The sequence below is a fragment of the Homo sapiens genome, chromosome 10 (genome assembly GCF_000001405.40).
Source record: "Homo sapiens chromosome 10, GRCh38.p14 Primary Assembly".
Classification (NCBI taxonomy): domain Eukaryota; kingdom Metazoa; phylum Chordata; class Mammalia; order Primates; family Hominidae; genus Homo; species Homo sapiens.
The window spans coordinates 3,983,796-3,997,894 of record NC_000010.11 but is presented as its reverse complement, the minus strand read 5'-3'; the positions used below and the strand labels follow the sequence as shown (position 1 = coordinate 3,997,894).

The window sequence follows — 14,099 nt, the reverse complement described above, 5'->3', positions numbered from 1 at the left end:
CTGTTTCACGACCCTGAGAAGAATGAGACAGCACACTATCACTGACCGCACACAAATTAGAGAGGTTTCATTAGCTGGGTCCTCTTCACAGATATCCTGTCAAAAGCAGGTTTCAGGGTGAGAACAAAGGACATATGAAGGAGTTTGCAGAATGAGATGGAAAAAGAAAGCCTGTGAAAATGGAATCAAACCACAGGGTGACAAACTTCATTGTCTTCAAATTATGCCTAGAAATAATAATGAAATAGCATTGAAGTCAGGTTAAGCCCCATTTCCCTGGACTACACATCATAATTCTACTATTACACTGACACTGGCTTGTATGTAATATTGCTTAAAAGATTACACCATTTGGCTGGGTGCGGTGGCTCACGTTTGTAATCCCAGCACTTTGGGAGGTCCAGGTGGGCAGATGGCTTGAGGTCAGGAGTTCGAGACCAGCCTGGTCAACATGGCAAGAACCTGTCTCTACAAAAAATACAAAAATTAGCCGGGCGTAGTGACGCATGCCCGTTGTCCCAGCTGCTCAGGAGGCTGAGGTAGAAGAATTGCTTGAATCTGGGAGGTGGAAGTTGCTGTGAGCCAAGATCGCACCACTGCACTGCTGCCTGGGCAAAAAAGGGAGACTCTGTCTCAAAAAAAAAAAAAAAATACACCATTTGAAATTCAGAAATTATTTCTGCATATGTCTTCTTTTTTCCTTATAACTGGAGCCTTTTATTTTATCTTTTCTCTGCCATCAGCAACATGTAGTTTCACCTTGGAATAATGTGGTTGATCCAGGTATATTTGTTGTTAATTGGAACGCCAATGAAAATATAATTAGAACAGATTTTCATAGGATATAACAATTAAAAAATTGGGAGCCACGTTTGGTTTGAAGTTGGGTTTCTATGGAAATAGCAAAGCTCTCAGAATAACCTGCCAGAAAAATCTGAATTCAGTATGAAGTGTCTAGATGCCAACAGCAGGTAGACAACAGAGATGAGAATCAAGAAAGGAAGATCGAAAGTGATTAAGAGAAAAGAAATAGAAAGTGACAATGACAAAAGTACATGTTATTGAAGAAATGACTGTGCAGTGGATCTGAAATAAAAAAAAAAAAACCTAGAGGGAAAGAAATGTGTGAATTAAAGTTCATACCTAAAAGTACAGCAATTATATTTAAAAAGAACGTTCATATTCTTTGCCCAAGAATGTCACGAGAGTGGATGCCGTTACATTAAATTATAATCTCTCTGGGGAAGAGGTACAAGCAAATTTACTAAGGTATTTAAAATTGCACTTTAAAATTTTTAAAAAAGAATTTTAAAAAATTCCACAGGGAGCAATAACTCATTGGCAGCTATATCAACTCGACAAAACATTTCCAGTTCTAATTTCATAGGGCCAGATTAGGTTCTTATTTTTATTCTCTGTATTATATATATTTAATTACCATCTTCAGAACTTTAAAGGGAGCTACAAATTGAGGAAATGTTGGCAGATGTCCTCAAGAAAATAGGCATGATTTTAAAAATTACATATTTAAATCTCAGATCTCAAATGAAATATTAAAAGACCGATAGGGTTAGCAAAAAAACTAATTTGTCTTCACTCATCAAATCTGTATTATGTAGGAATTTTTTTGCATTGATCCATTCTATTCCCAGCAAGCATTTACTCCAAGCTTGTCAAGAGATCAGCAGCATGGACTAGAAGATGCAGCATTTTTTTAGGGCAACCAGGACCTGGTCAAGTCCTCCTCTCTCTTTACTGGCCACTTGGCTCAATTCAGTATATATATTTTTATCCAAAAATTGGAAATAAAAATACCTGTTCTGCTTACTTCGCAGAGGTTTAGCAAGGATGGAATGGATGACTGGGTACTGAGCTCTGTCCAAAAAATTACATAACTCTTCCAGGCCACAAGCCAATTTTATATGACAGTAGGAGAAACACATACCGAAAATATTTAAGTGCCAGACAAAATTGAATATATGATTAAAAAGAGCAATACATATAGAAAGTGCTACAGCAGTTCAGAAAACGGGGGAAGCCAATAGAGATTGAGTCAGATGTGATTCTACAACCTCCCTAACGACCCACACATTGCCTTGAAACACATCTCTAACCTGAAACCTTCAGGCTCTGTCTTCAACCTGTTTTCATTTGTTCTGTCCCCAAATTATAGCTGACCGCTTACTATAATTAAGTCATTCTTCAACCTTCTGCCTGAGGTCTCCTCCACTGCTTTTGCCCAATCCAGGATTTAGCACTGTGGGAAATATGGCTCCAGGTCCAGCGTGCTCTGCCCTTCTCATTTGGTACCTAGGGAGAATTCCTTTTCCTTCCCACTCCTAAATTCCTCTAATTCTCTGATTTCTAAGTCTGCTCTTTAAGAAACATTCTGTGATGAGTTCACTTCCTTTGCAGGGACATGGATAAAGCTGGAAACCATCCTCCTCAGCAAACTAATACAGGAACAGAAAACCAAATACCGCATGTTATTACTCATAAGTGGGAGTTGAACAATGAGAACACATGGACACAGGGAGGGGAACATCATACACCGGGACCTGTCAGGGGCTGGGGGGTAAAGGGAGGGAGAGCATTAGGACAAATACCTAATGCATGTGGGGCTTAAAACCTAGATGATGGGTTGATAGGTGAAGCAAACCACCATGGCACATGTTTACCTATGTAACAAACCTGCACTTTCTGCACATGTATCCCAGAACTTAAAGTAACAAAAAAAAAAATACAAATAAAAACATTCTGTGTACTTCATGAAGCAATTCTGCCACAGGCCTTAACGATGGCCACTTCTCATTCTAAATCCCTTCCCTACATCCTCACTGTTTCATGTTCAGTTTCAGTTTTAGAATAAATGATTAATCGAATTCTCCTGAAGCAAATGGCGGGAGACATTATGCTTTGGTTGTAATAAAATTTCATTGCAAATGCACTGATAGAAGTCACAGTGAAATATTACAGGGTCTAGAGACCAAAGAGAAAACAACCAGGAATAAAGGAAACAAAAAAAGCAATGTTCTGAACACAGTTCTGGGGGAAACTTTACCTTTAGACGGTGTAATGGATATGCCTCGGTCCTTATTCTCATGCTAGTGCATTAGTCCGTTTTCACACTGCTATAAAGAAATACCCGAGACTGGGTCATTTGTAAAGGAAAGATGTTTAATTGACTTGCAGTTCTGCGTGACTGGAGAGGCCTCAGGAAACTTATAATTATGGTGGAAGGGGAAGCAGTTGCATCTTACATGGTGAGAGAGAGTGTGTGTAAAGGAAGAACTCTGCAACACTTCTAAAACCATCAGGGATCTCATGAGAACTCACTCACTATCATGAGAACTGCATGGGGGAACCGCCAATCACCTCCTTCCTTCTACAGGTAAGGATTACAGGTACCTCCTTTAACACGTGGAGATTACAATTTGAGACAAAATTTGGGTGGGGCCACAGAAGCAAACCATAACACTAGCCATTGAAACAGTGCTACGTTTTGTTAGAAGAGTTTTGTTTTGTGTTCAGGGGCAGGGAGGATGTCGAGTGAAAATGATTTAAGATATTTTTGAATTCTTGGTGTGGAGGAAATAAAGGGTAATTATTACTGTGTTCTTCAACACTACATAAACACCCACTTTTCTCTGGTCTGGACCAACAGCATCTCCAAAGGAATGGGGATCTGTCCAAGACAAGAGCTCCCCAAAGCTGTTGCCCTGTGTGGAAGGTGACTCAGCCATCCTTGATTGGCAACGAAGTAGGTTCTGCAAACTGTGCTTCCCTGATTCAGGTCAATAGTTGCTACTGATTTATAGCTATGGTGGGATAATTTAAGGGGAAGGATAGAGCATCTTGGTTATGGAGATTTATGAACTTACCTGACCAGCAAACCACATTATTCGTGATGCCTGCCAACCAGGCTTCAGATATATTTTGGTTTTAGTGGCATTCTTCTAAAACGTCCATCAAAGACAGCCCCCAGGAACATTTTATTCCTGATTGCCATATATTCTTCACTTATTGTAATTTGCTTAAGCAGACGTTACGATACTAAATTGGCTTCGTATTATGCACAGAGGTACTAGCTTCCAATACCTTCTGAAATAAGCAAGCAGAAGGGGTAATTAAATCTTGTCTTTTTCTTCACATTGCTCGGCATGTTCTTTTATTTTTCTGGCTCCTATGCTGACAACCCAGCAGGAGATTTTACAAGCCCAAAATACCTGATTACTTCCCAACCCCAGAGAAAGGGACAGAACATGCTTGGGAAGAAGGAAAGCTAATGGCAGCTTCGCTGGAGGTGAGAACAGGGTGAAAGTTGAGGAAGCTCAGAGCGGAATGAATTCCAAACAGCTTGGGCAGGGCTGACCTCGCCGTCTGCCGTGTCCTGAGAGGCAGGTGTCGCACTGCAGTCACATCGCTGTTCTTTCATTGTGTGATGAATTTCCAATACATCCCCGACATGGCAGGGGAGGCGGGTTCCAAAGTGGAACCGTGTTCGAGCATTCTGTCTTCTACTGCTCCCTCAGTGGCGTAAACATAGAAGTCGTGATTTGCTTAGAACAACTCCTGGCAATGAAGGGAGTGGCTGAGACACTGGCCTGGGATTCCAGGCCTTCCCCAGCAAACGCATAGTGCAGGCCACCTGCGCTCTGCTCCGGTAAAAATGCCGCACAGCGTCTGATGCGTCCGCACTGCCTGGACCTGGGAACACTCATCCCACAGGAGAAAGAAACCTGATGTACTCATCCATCAGGACCACGACTCTCAGAACACGCATCCAACTAGCCGTCTGCGGTTGGGTAGAGAGGCCCTGGGGCACACTTTTAGCCCTGCTAGAAAGTTGGCCTCGTAACTGGCCGGCTTATTCCAGGAATGTTTTCATTTTTCTTTCTAAGGTCAACCTGATCACACTGCCGAGGCTACAAGCACACAAAGGCTGCAGGCACATAAACAAAAGATGAAAAAACAGACTCCCGGGCAGAGAAAACAGGGTCAGAGGTGTTGCCGTGCCTGTGAGGCCTTTGCTGGCCGCCTGCGTTCCGGTGGCAGCCAGTGACCGTCCTGCACCTTCCTGCCGACTGCAGAGACCTCAGGCCACCCTTGGCTCTGACCTGTGTTTCCCAGGCTGCCTCTGCACCTGCCTGCTAAAGCCTTCCTCGGTTTCCTTTGGTAAAGTATTGAGTGATGAATTTTCTCACCAGGTTCTTAAGGCAAGGAAGAGTCCCCCTGGGGTGCAGGCTGAGAGACAGGTCTCTGTGGAACAAGGAGGAGGGATGGAGGAGTTCTGTGTGGGAGTGTGGTGGGCTGGTTGTTGATTTATTCATTTGCAGTTGGGGCAGCTTTGAAAGGGAGGTGAGAGAAGATGAGGGAAGGGGAGGGGAGGGGAGAAGGTGGAGGGAAGGGAAAAGGAGAGGAGGAGAGGAGTGACGAGGAGAGGAGGGGAGTGGGGAGGAGGGGACAGAAAGGTCTGGAGAAAGAGCCAGCCAGCCAATGTGGAGGAATTTTAAAACACAGATATCTGTCCTTCACTTTAACTGAGTTAATGAGTGAATTTTCCCACCAGCCATCTTACTGGGATGTCAAGTAAGAAGGAAGCAGAGGCTCAGAGACCGATGGTCACTGGGATGATATCAAAATTGACAGAAATTTGATGACAGAGAAGTCCCACTTTTGTTCTGTTTTGCTTCATAGCTGTTGTTTTTTTGTCTTGTCTTTGTTTCTGACTCCTGGCCTTTGCCTCCTATCCCCTGCCTGAGCAGCCAGATGCACACACACTCTAGGTCCACACAGAGTCCCCCGGACTCGCTCCACCCTGTCAAGCCTCTGCACGTGGCAATTTCTTCTTTTTTTTTTCCTGGTTCGACCACCTTGGCCTGGTTTTTCATCTTTTTGTTTTAACTCCCTTCGTGTGTCACGCACCTTCCCTTTCAACTGTGCTGCACACACTGGATTCTGCTGTTGCTTTTCTGAGCTAATTCCTACCTGTCCTTCAGTTCTCAACCTGCACGTCAGCTCTTCACGGAACCAGCTCCTCCACCTCCCTGAAGAGGTGCAGACCTTCCAGCCTGTGCTACCTGACCATCAGGGATTCTTCATGGAATGTATCACAGGTGTCATCAACGAGTCACTTGGAGATTGACTTGGATGAGAGCTATTTCTCCCTGTAGCTATTTTTGCCTAATTACAAAAAAAGGAAAAGATGGCTCCTTCCCCAGTATTTCTGAGTGTCTTTCTGAGGAAGGGAAGCTGTGTGCCTGGCCATGCTGACGTGGCCCACCACTGCCTGGCTTGACCTTCTCCTCCTCCCAACACCTCTGAGATGTTATCGTCTCCCATGATGCTTCCACTCACTGCCGTTCTGTTTGATCTTAACCTGAACGTGACTCCCATCAGGGCTCCTGGTCACTTACAGCGATTGACTGAAGCTTTACTGAGGATGGTGTGCGGCGCCTATAGTAGAAGATAAATTAATCCAGTTTAGTCCATAAATGCTCTATAGTGGTTGATGGTTGTAATTTATCATAGAAATTTTGCATCATTTAACAGATTGATAGATTCAAATTTTAGTGGCTATAAACTGACATTTTAAAACAAAACATGACAAGATGGCAACTATGCTTTTACATGACTAGCATTTTAACAGAGACCCACTTCTCACTCAAAACCAGCTGAAGTTAGAGTTTTGCCTCTGTCCACAGCTAGCTCAGGCGGTGGCTCTTTCTCCTCTGCATTCAAAGCACTCATTGAACTCCCAGGAAAAGACTCATAGTTTAGAGTGCTACTGAGAGTTTTGTGTGTCTGTCTTGTCTCAGAAATTGCATTATTCACCCATTGAGAGCAGTGAGGGTGTTTGCTAGTTCTTTAATTTGACATAGAGTTTGACATGGAATGGTAATCAATACACATTGACTGATGTGTTGGTGAAAACTGGGGGGCCCTGATGTCCCCAGTAGAGTAAGAAACACAAACCCATGCTTTTAGGTCAACACCACACAACGTCATAAATGGACAATTTATAAATCACTTGAACTTGCTATTTTTAACAAGTATACAAATCTTTGTGTAGCACTCGGAAAGATTGCATTGAAGCCTTACCAATGAAAAGCTATGATTTTAAACATAAAACAAAACTAGGTACCTGTGCATGCGGCTTGACAGTTGCACAACCTGCCAGACCCTGCTGCACTTTGAAATGTTGCCATACTCAGCACTTCAGCTCCAACTGAAAAACACTCAGAGAAGCGGCTCGTGTTTAACAAAAGCCTTCTGTGTCATCCCAAACTGAGTGTTTAGCACCTGGCCTTCCTCCTGCAGGAGGCCTCACATCATGGCAGAAGGTGAAGGAGAAGCAAAGGCACGTCCTATATGGCTGCAGGCAAGAGAGCGTGTCCTGCCCTTTATAAAGCCATCGGATCTTGTGAGACTTAATCACCATCACAAGAACAGCATGGGCAAGGCCTGCCTCCATCATTCAATTACCTCCCACTTGGTCCCTCCCATGACATGTGGGAATTATGGGAGCTACAATTCAAGATGAGATTTGGGTGAGGACACAGCCAAACCATACCATATATGTGTGTGTATATTTGTGTGTGTGTATATATACATACACACACACACACACAATCAATAGGACATATATATTCGTTCTGTTTCTCTGGAGAATCCTGACTAACATAGTTGTCAATGCAAAAACATAACGACTTTCTTTCTTTCTTGAAATAAGTAAGTGATCTCTTTCAGGCAGCTGTTGATGGACTGTCCGATATGTTTAATTATTTTCTTATTTCAGCCACTTCTCTACATTAGATATTTTTGATAGTCAATATACAGAATTGTACTTTGAATCATTGAGCACAGAGCATTAAATCTTATACATGGAAGATTCTCATTAGATATTTATTTAGGATGGCTTTCTGATTGCTGTAACTTACATTTAGTTGACAAGCACGAAAGCATTTTACAAGAGTTAGGAAGCAGCTGCTCCAACCTCATGAACGAAGGAAAGGAGAGGGCCAGAAGGCCATTCTACCTCACGCCCTGTCTCCCAATAATCTCCAATATGAGCTGTTAGACAACCCCTTTAAGGAGAAGTTTACATCCTGAGTATTTCCAAAGATCGGTAGTGTGTGGCTTACACTCTCATGCAAAATTCAGATCTTAGAAAAGAGGAGCTGAGTGTAGAGCCACCCAGAGCCTGAGAAAATGCGTTTAAAGGCTCTCAACCTTGCAGGAGGTGCTGCAAATCGAACCCAGAAAACTGACCACCCCAGTGTAATGGCACTGGGCCTCTGTCACTTAGCAGGACTTGTTTTTCTCCTGTCTCAGGTCTGGTTCCCCAGAAGCAAACCCGAACTCACTAGAATTAAGACCAGAATTTGCCTTCAAGCAGGTGAAACTGACAGGGAAGAGGAAGAAGAGGAAGGGGCCCACCCACAGCCTCATCTCAGGCAAGGTCCCTGGTGCTGCAGTCTGGCCCCAGAGGAGAATCCTGAGTGTTCACTCTTTCCAGGGGCCGGGGAGTCAGGCTTTCAGACGCTGTCACACAAGTGAGTCCAAGGCGCTTCTTCTCTCTGACCCTCCAGGCAAAGCAGCTCTGGGAGCCCAAGGGGAAGCCCCCACAGAGGCAGCTCAGGAGTTAATGCTAAGAAGCAAAGGCAGCAGAGGCTGTCATTGAGATTTATTCTTTATCATTCCATTACTTTTTTAACGTTTCTTTTTGGCCAGGCATGGTGGCTCACACCTGTAATTTTACCACTTTGGAAGGAGACTGGGGAGGTGGATTGCTTGTGCCCAGAGTTTGAGACCAGCCTTGGCAACAAAGGGAGATCATAAATAATCTAGAAAATCCAAATTAAAAAGATAATAATAGATACTGACACTCACCTGATTAGCAAAGTTAAAATGGTGTGCCAGTACCATCTCTACAAAAAATACACACATTAGCCTGGTGTGGTGGCACCCACCTATAGTCCCACCCACTCGGGGGCTGAGGCAGGAGGATCAATTGAGCCCAGGATGTGGAGGTTGCAGTGAGCAATGATCACACTCCAACCTGCATGACAGAGCAAAACCCTGTCTCAAAACCAAACATTTTTTTACACAATTGTTTTTCTTACATAATTGAACAAGTTGTAGAGAATGTGGGTAAGTCCTTATATGTGAATATTATATAGTCACCTAGGGTGTCAAATCTGAGAAATAAAGGGTTGAGTATTTATAGCACGATAAAATTTTTTAATTTCTAATTAGCACTTACAGCAAAACTTGTATGGCATATGGATTGAATCTTGCTCGTGGTTTAAAGAAAGAAGAGCTATTAGATACAGGGATGTAATCATTGAATTAGGATCTAAACATCTCATAACAGACCTACATATTTGGAGGCCAATGAAACAGGCTCAATTATATAAAAAATAAACATACAATTCCCTCAGAGGCATCTCTAAGGTAGCGATTGAAAACATGTGCTCTGGCATCAGAGGGCCCACGTTTTCACCACTGCTCCACTATATGCACTGTGAGATTGTCAGCAAGCTATTAACCCTCACTGTGGCTCAGTGTCTTCATTTAATGAGTAGGGACAATAGCACCTATCTTGCAGGGTGGTCATTGTGGGGGATTCAATGACACAGTATACATAAAGCACTTAGTCTAGTCAACAATTCCAGCCATCTCTCCTCCACAAGAAGGAGCATAAATGAAAGATATTGTTCATGCGATCACATGGAGATTGAGGTGTAAGGAGGCCTTCTTATCAACAGGAGGATGTCATAACCAAATCACATGCAATGGGTTATTAAAATGTCAGACACTGTGATAGAAATTTGATATATTCTGTATCTTTGCATCCTCAGAGCAGCCTAAAAACTAGGTACTATTATTCATCCATTTATGTAAACAGAGAGTCAGAAAAGTTAAGTCATACAATATACAAATCAACTAGAATTAGAACCCAAATTAACACCTTAAGATAGACATGGAAAAAGGTGTGCTAATTTCAAGGAGGGAAAAACAGAACAGTTAAAAAGCATGAAACTAGGACATATTCGAGGAGCCTGGACATGGTTGTTATAAACAATCAAACCACAATTAAACTCTCATGACACTTGTCACAAGAATGCGTGTTTGTTCCAGAGGTCAAAAGTACAAGTAGGAGATAGAAAGTGGGTTAGAAGAGCATTGAGAGTTTGGGGATGAGATAATGCCCATTAAAACCTTAGCTTTTAATAGTTCTGTATGTTTTTAAGCAATTATCAGAAGGTAAATGTTGCCCAGTAGGACCTGAAACGTGGAGGGAGTATTAAAACCATCTACCAATCCCAATCTCATTCCAGGCAGAGAATGACTATGCTGAAACCAAGGGCCACTGAAGCAAATGCTGGAAATATTAAGTCTGGGCATCTGGTTCGAATTAATTTCAGTGGCAGAAGAATATTATCAATTACCTACTAAAATAGAATTAACTATGTTAGTGTGGAACACAGAGAGACCAATCATTATTTACCTCAGTGAAATGAGGTAGCCTCAACTCCAGAGATCCCAGCTCAACCCAAGCAGGGCAGCCTTTGGCTCAGAAAACCTTGCCCAGTGTTCAGCACGCAGACCGTGTATGCCTTCGGTGTGTCCCAACTGAAATGGAGACCACCACGTTGTTACAAAAGGCTTGGGGCTGTGGTGAGCAAGTTCCTGTCTATCAATTCCAGGTTACCAGAGTGAAGGGGTAAGACTCCAGGCACCCGGCTTGAAGACACATTGGCCCGGAGTAAACGCTGTTCTGCCAACTGCGGGTGTTGCAGCCAATTCCTTTCTAATCCTTAATTTCCTTGTCTGTATGAAGGACAGTCATGGAAGTTGCATGAGACATGCATCCAATGTTTGCCACAGAGGAAGTCCTCTGCAGGCATTAACTCTCATGTTATTAAAGCGCCTGCCATTTTATGGTGACTTCCTCTTTTCACATTAATCTGTCTTATTCTGCTATCATCCTTTTCATGTTACAAACCTGAAAGCTAATAAAAGATTACCAATTCCACTACAGTATATATTCTATCCTTGGGTCTTTTATTTTGGCATAGTCTAAAGCACTGTGCAGCACATAGAAGTGTCCAATAAATCTTTGGCAAATTAAAGAGATTGAAGTATTAATAGCATTAACATTCATTCTGTATTTTCTTTGTGCTGGGCCCCGTCCTAAGTGTTTTACATGCTTGAACTCCTTTAATCTTTACTAACCGTCTTGAAACGTAAGTACTGTATGAATGAAATACATTTTTGATGAATTAAAAGAATGCCGTTTTTGTTGCCATAGCAACACGGGTCTGAAAATATGAATCCAAGTTTAGAAGCCGTAATCATTGTTTTCTGCCTCAGTTTTAATGTGCTGTTGAAGGTATTTATATGAAAATAGCTACAGCAAGGGACCTGCCCCCAGGGCGATTTTTATCATCGATGTCATTGCTTCCCAAGATTGAAAGCGGTTGTTCTAAAATCTGGATCCCCAAAATCTGGTAGGGCAGCATTTCGTGAACTAAGGCACCCAGACCCAGGAGGTCCTTGGTAACATTTCAGAGACCTGTAAAACCAAAGGAGGAAAGTTGGTAGGTATTTAGGAAGTTGGGTTTGGATTCAATTGTTAAACAACTTAAAACATTAGTTTCTAGTGAAACACACATGACGTATTACAGAAAGTTCACTGCTTGCCTGAATGTTGAATATATATATATGTTGAGTTTGCCTCAAACTGCCGCAGACAGACACTCCCAGGCTTCCCCTGTTTCTGCTTACACTAGGGCAGCCCAGAGTGCATCACAGAAATCTCTGGCGTGCTGCAGCCTCCACCTGCAAAGGAAATGTGCTTCATTGAGGGCAGAGCTGCTCATCATGATGGCAGCAACCAAGAATGTGGCGGAGCTGAGTCTTTAACGTGTTATTCTCGAGCACAATATGAGCGGTGTGGAGTTACTGCTATTATTTTATGTTTTAATCGTCTCACAACTCACCAGCTTCCAGGGACTGATTTTATCATCTTTGCATAATGGTGCAAATTGGGCAAGGATGGGAATACACCAAAAATAAGTCTGTACCATGGTGGTGGCAAAGGGCAACGCCTAGATACTGGACCCAGAATTGACCTTGTATTTATCAAAGGCAGTTTTGCAGAGACTGTGTTTAAAATACCTTAGAATCAACCTCAACATACATTTTTTAAATCAGAAAAACTTTGGTATCAGGATTCAATTTTCTTTTTCTTTTTTGAGATGCAGTCTCACTCTGTCACCCAGGCTGGAGTACAGTGATGCGATCTCGGCTCACTGCAACCTCCACTTCTGGGGTTCAAGTGATTCTCCTGCCTCAACCTCCTGAGTAACTGGGACTACAGGCACACGCCACCATGTCCTGCTAAATTTTTTTTTGTATTTTTTAGTAGAGACGGGGTTTCACCATATTGGCCAGGCTGGTCTCGAACTCCTGACCTCACGATCTGCCCACCTTGGCCTCCCAAAGTGCTGGGATTACAGGCGTGAGCCATGGCACCTGGCCCAGGATTCGATTTTCTAATTACTTTTTCTCTTAAGTGGATGGACTTTTTAAAATAAATTTTATTTTGTTTTTAATTGACACATAATAACTGTACATAGTTATGGGGTACAGTGTGATGTTGGATACATATATCGATTGTGTAATGATCAAATAACACAAGGATGACTGACCTATCCATCCACTCAAACACTTGTCATTTCTTGTGGTGAGAACATGCAAAATCCTCTTTTCTAGCTATTTTGAAGTATACATTATTATTGATTCTAGTCACCCTAGTGTGCAGCAGAACACCAGAACTTACTCCTTCTATCTAACTGTAAATTTATACCTGTTGACCAACCTCTCCTCACCCCCTCCTCTTCCCCTCTTCCCAGCCTCTGGTGACCACTGTTCTACTCCGTGCTCCAATGAGATCAACTTCTTCAGATTCTACATCTGAGTGAGATCGTGCAGTGTTTGTTTTTCTGTGTTTGATGTACTTCACTTAACATAATTTTCTCCAAGCTTATCCACTTTGCTGCGAATGACAGGATCTTATTCTTTTTTACGGCAGAATAGTATTCCATTGTGTGTGTGTGTGTGCCTTATTTTCTTTACCCATTCATTTACTGATGGGCACTTAGGTTGATTCCATATCTTGGCTATTGTGAATAGTGCTACACAAACATGGAAGTGCAAAAGTCTCTTCCATAGGCTGATTTCTTCGCCGTTGGATGCGTATCCCAGCACTGGGATTGCTGGATCATATTTGGTGTATAAGGCCACTTTTGTAGTACTTTATTCACAGAATACAGTCTAAAACTGTTTGCCAAGTGAAACAATTATTAAAGAATAACAGTGATGGTCTGGTTAAAATACATTCTGTAAGAGGAATTTTTTTTTTTTTTTAAACGGAGTCTCACTGTCGCCCAGGTTGGAGTGCAGTGGCGAGATCTCGGCTCACTGCAGGCTCCGCCCCCCAGGGTTCATGCCATTCTCCTGCCTCAGCCTCCCGAGTAGCTGGGACTACAGGCGCCCGCCTCCTTGCCTGGCTAATTTTTGGTATTTTTAGTAGAGACGCTGTTTCACCATGTTAGCCAGGATGGTCTCGATCTCCTGACCTCGTGATCTGCTGTAAGAGGAATTTTTAAGATCCCATTTATATAACATTCTCTAAATTTAAAACATCATTCATGCTATTTATATTAATTAGGTAGTAAAACAAGAAAAAAGGGGTTGAACTGAGCTGAATTGTCAAATTATTCTTTTGAGTTTCTTATTGGTTTGTTTTTAATAAGAACACATGAAAGACAAAAATAGGTGGCATCTGTAGCTTTACTATCACCAAGTCACTACTTGCTAATATTTTAGAAATTTTTTAGTCTTTTTTGCATATCTTATAAGGTAATTATACTACTATGTTATTTGTCACCTAACATAAGCACATTTTACATTATTAGAAACTTTTACAAACATTTTGATGAGTACTTGATATTTTGTTGCCTAGTGGTAACATGCTATAACTAATCATTTCTATATGTTTAAATTTAGATCATTTCTTATAATTTTAT

At 42.2% G+C, this 14,099-nt stretch overlaps 1 non-coding gene across 1 annotated transcript, besides 2 other annotated features; it reads right to left on the bottom strand.

Annotated features, from left to right (window-relative positions):
• Nucleotides 4,364–4,864: an enhancer, noted in NCBI's record as "H3K4me1 hESC enhancer chr10:4035223-4035723 (GRCh37/hg19 assembly coordinates)". NCBI's record gives its function as "activates a minimal SCP1, AML or CMV promoter by ChIP-STARR-seq in naive and primed H9 embryonic stem cells {active_cell/tissue: H9 hESC(naive and primed)}" and the evidence as "EXISTENCE:reporter gene assay evidence [ECO:0000049][PMID:30033119]".
• Nucleotides 4,865–5,365: an enhancer, noted in NCBI's record as "H3K4me1 hESC enhancer chr10:4034722-4035222 (GRCh37/hg19 assembly coordinates)". NCBI's record gives its function as "activates a minimal SCP1, AML or CMV promoter by ChIP-STARR-seq in naive and primed H9 embryonic stem cells {active_cell/tissue: H9 hESC(naive and primed)}" and the evidence as "EXISTENCE:reporter gene assay evidence [ECO:0000049][PMID:30033119]".
• MIR6078 (microRNA 6078) lies at nt 6,636–6,735 on the bottom strand. Its single transcript, NR_106726.1, has one exon. It is a non-coding gene; the product is annotated as a microRNA 6078 (primary transcript).
• Between the last annotated feature and the right edge of the window lie 7,364 nt (nt 6,736–14,099).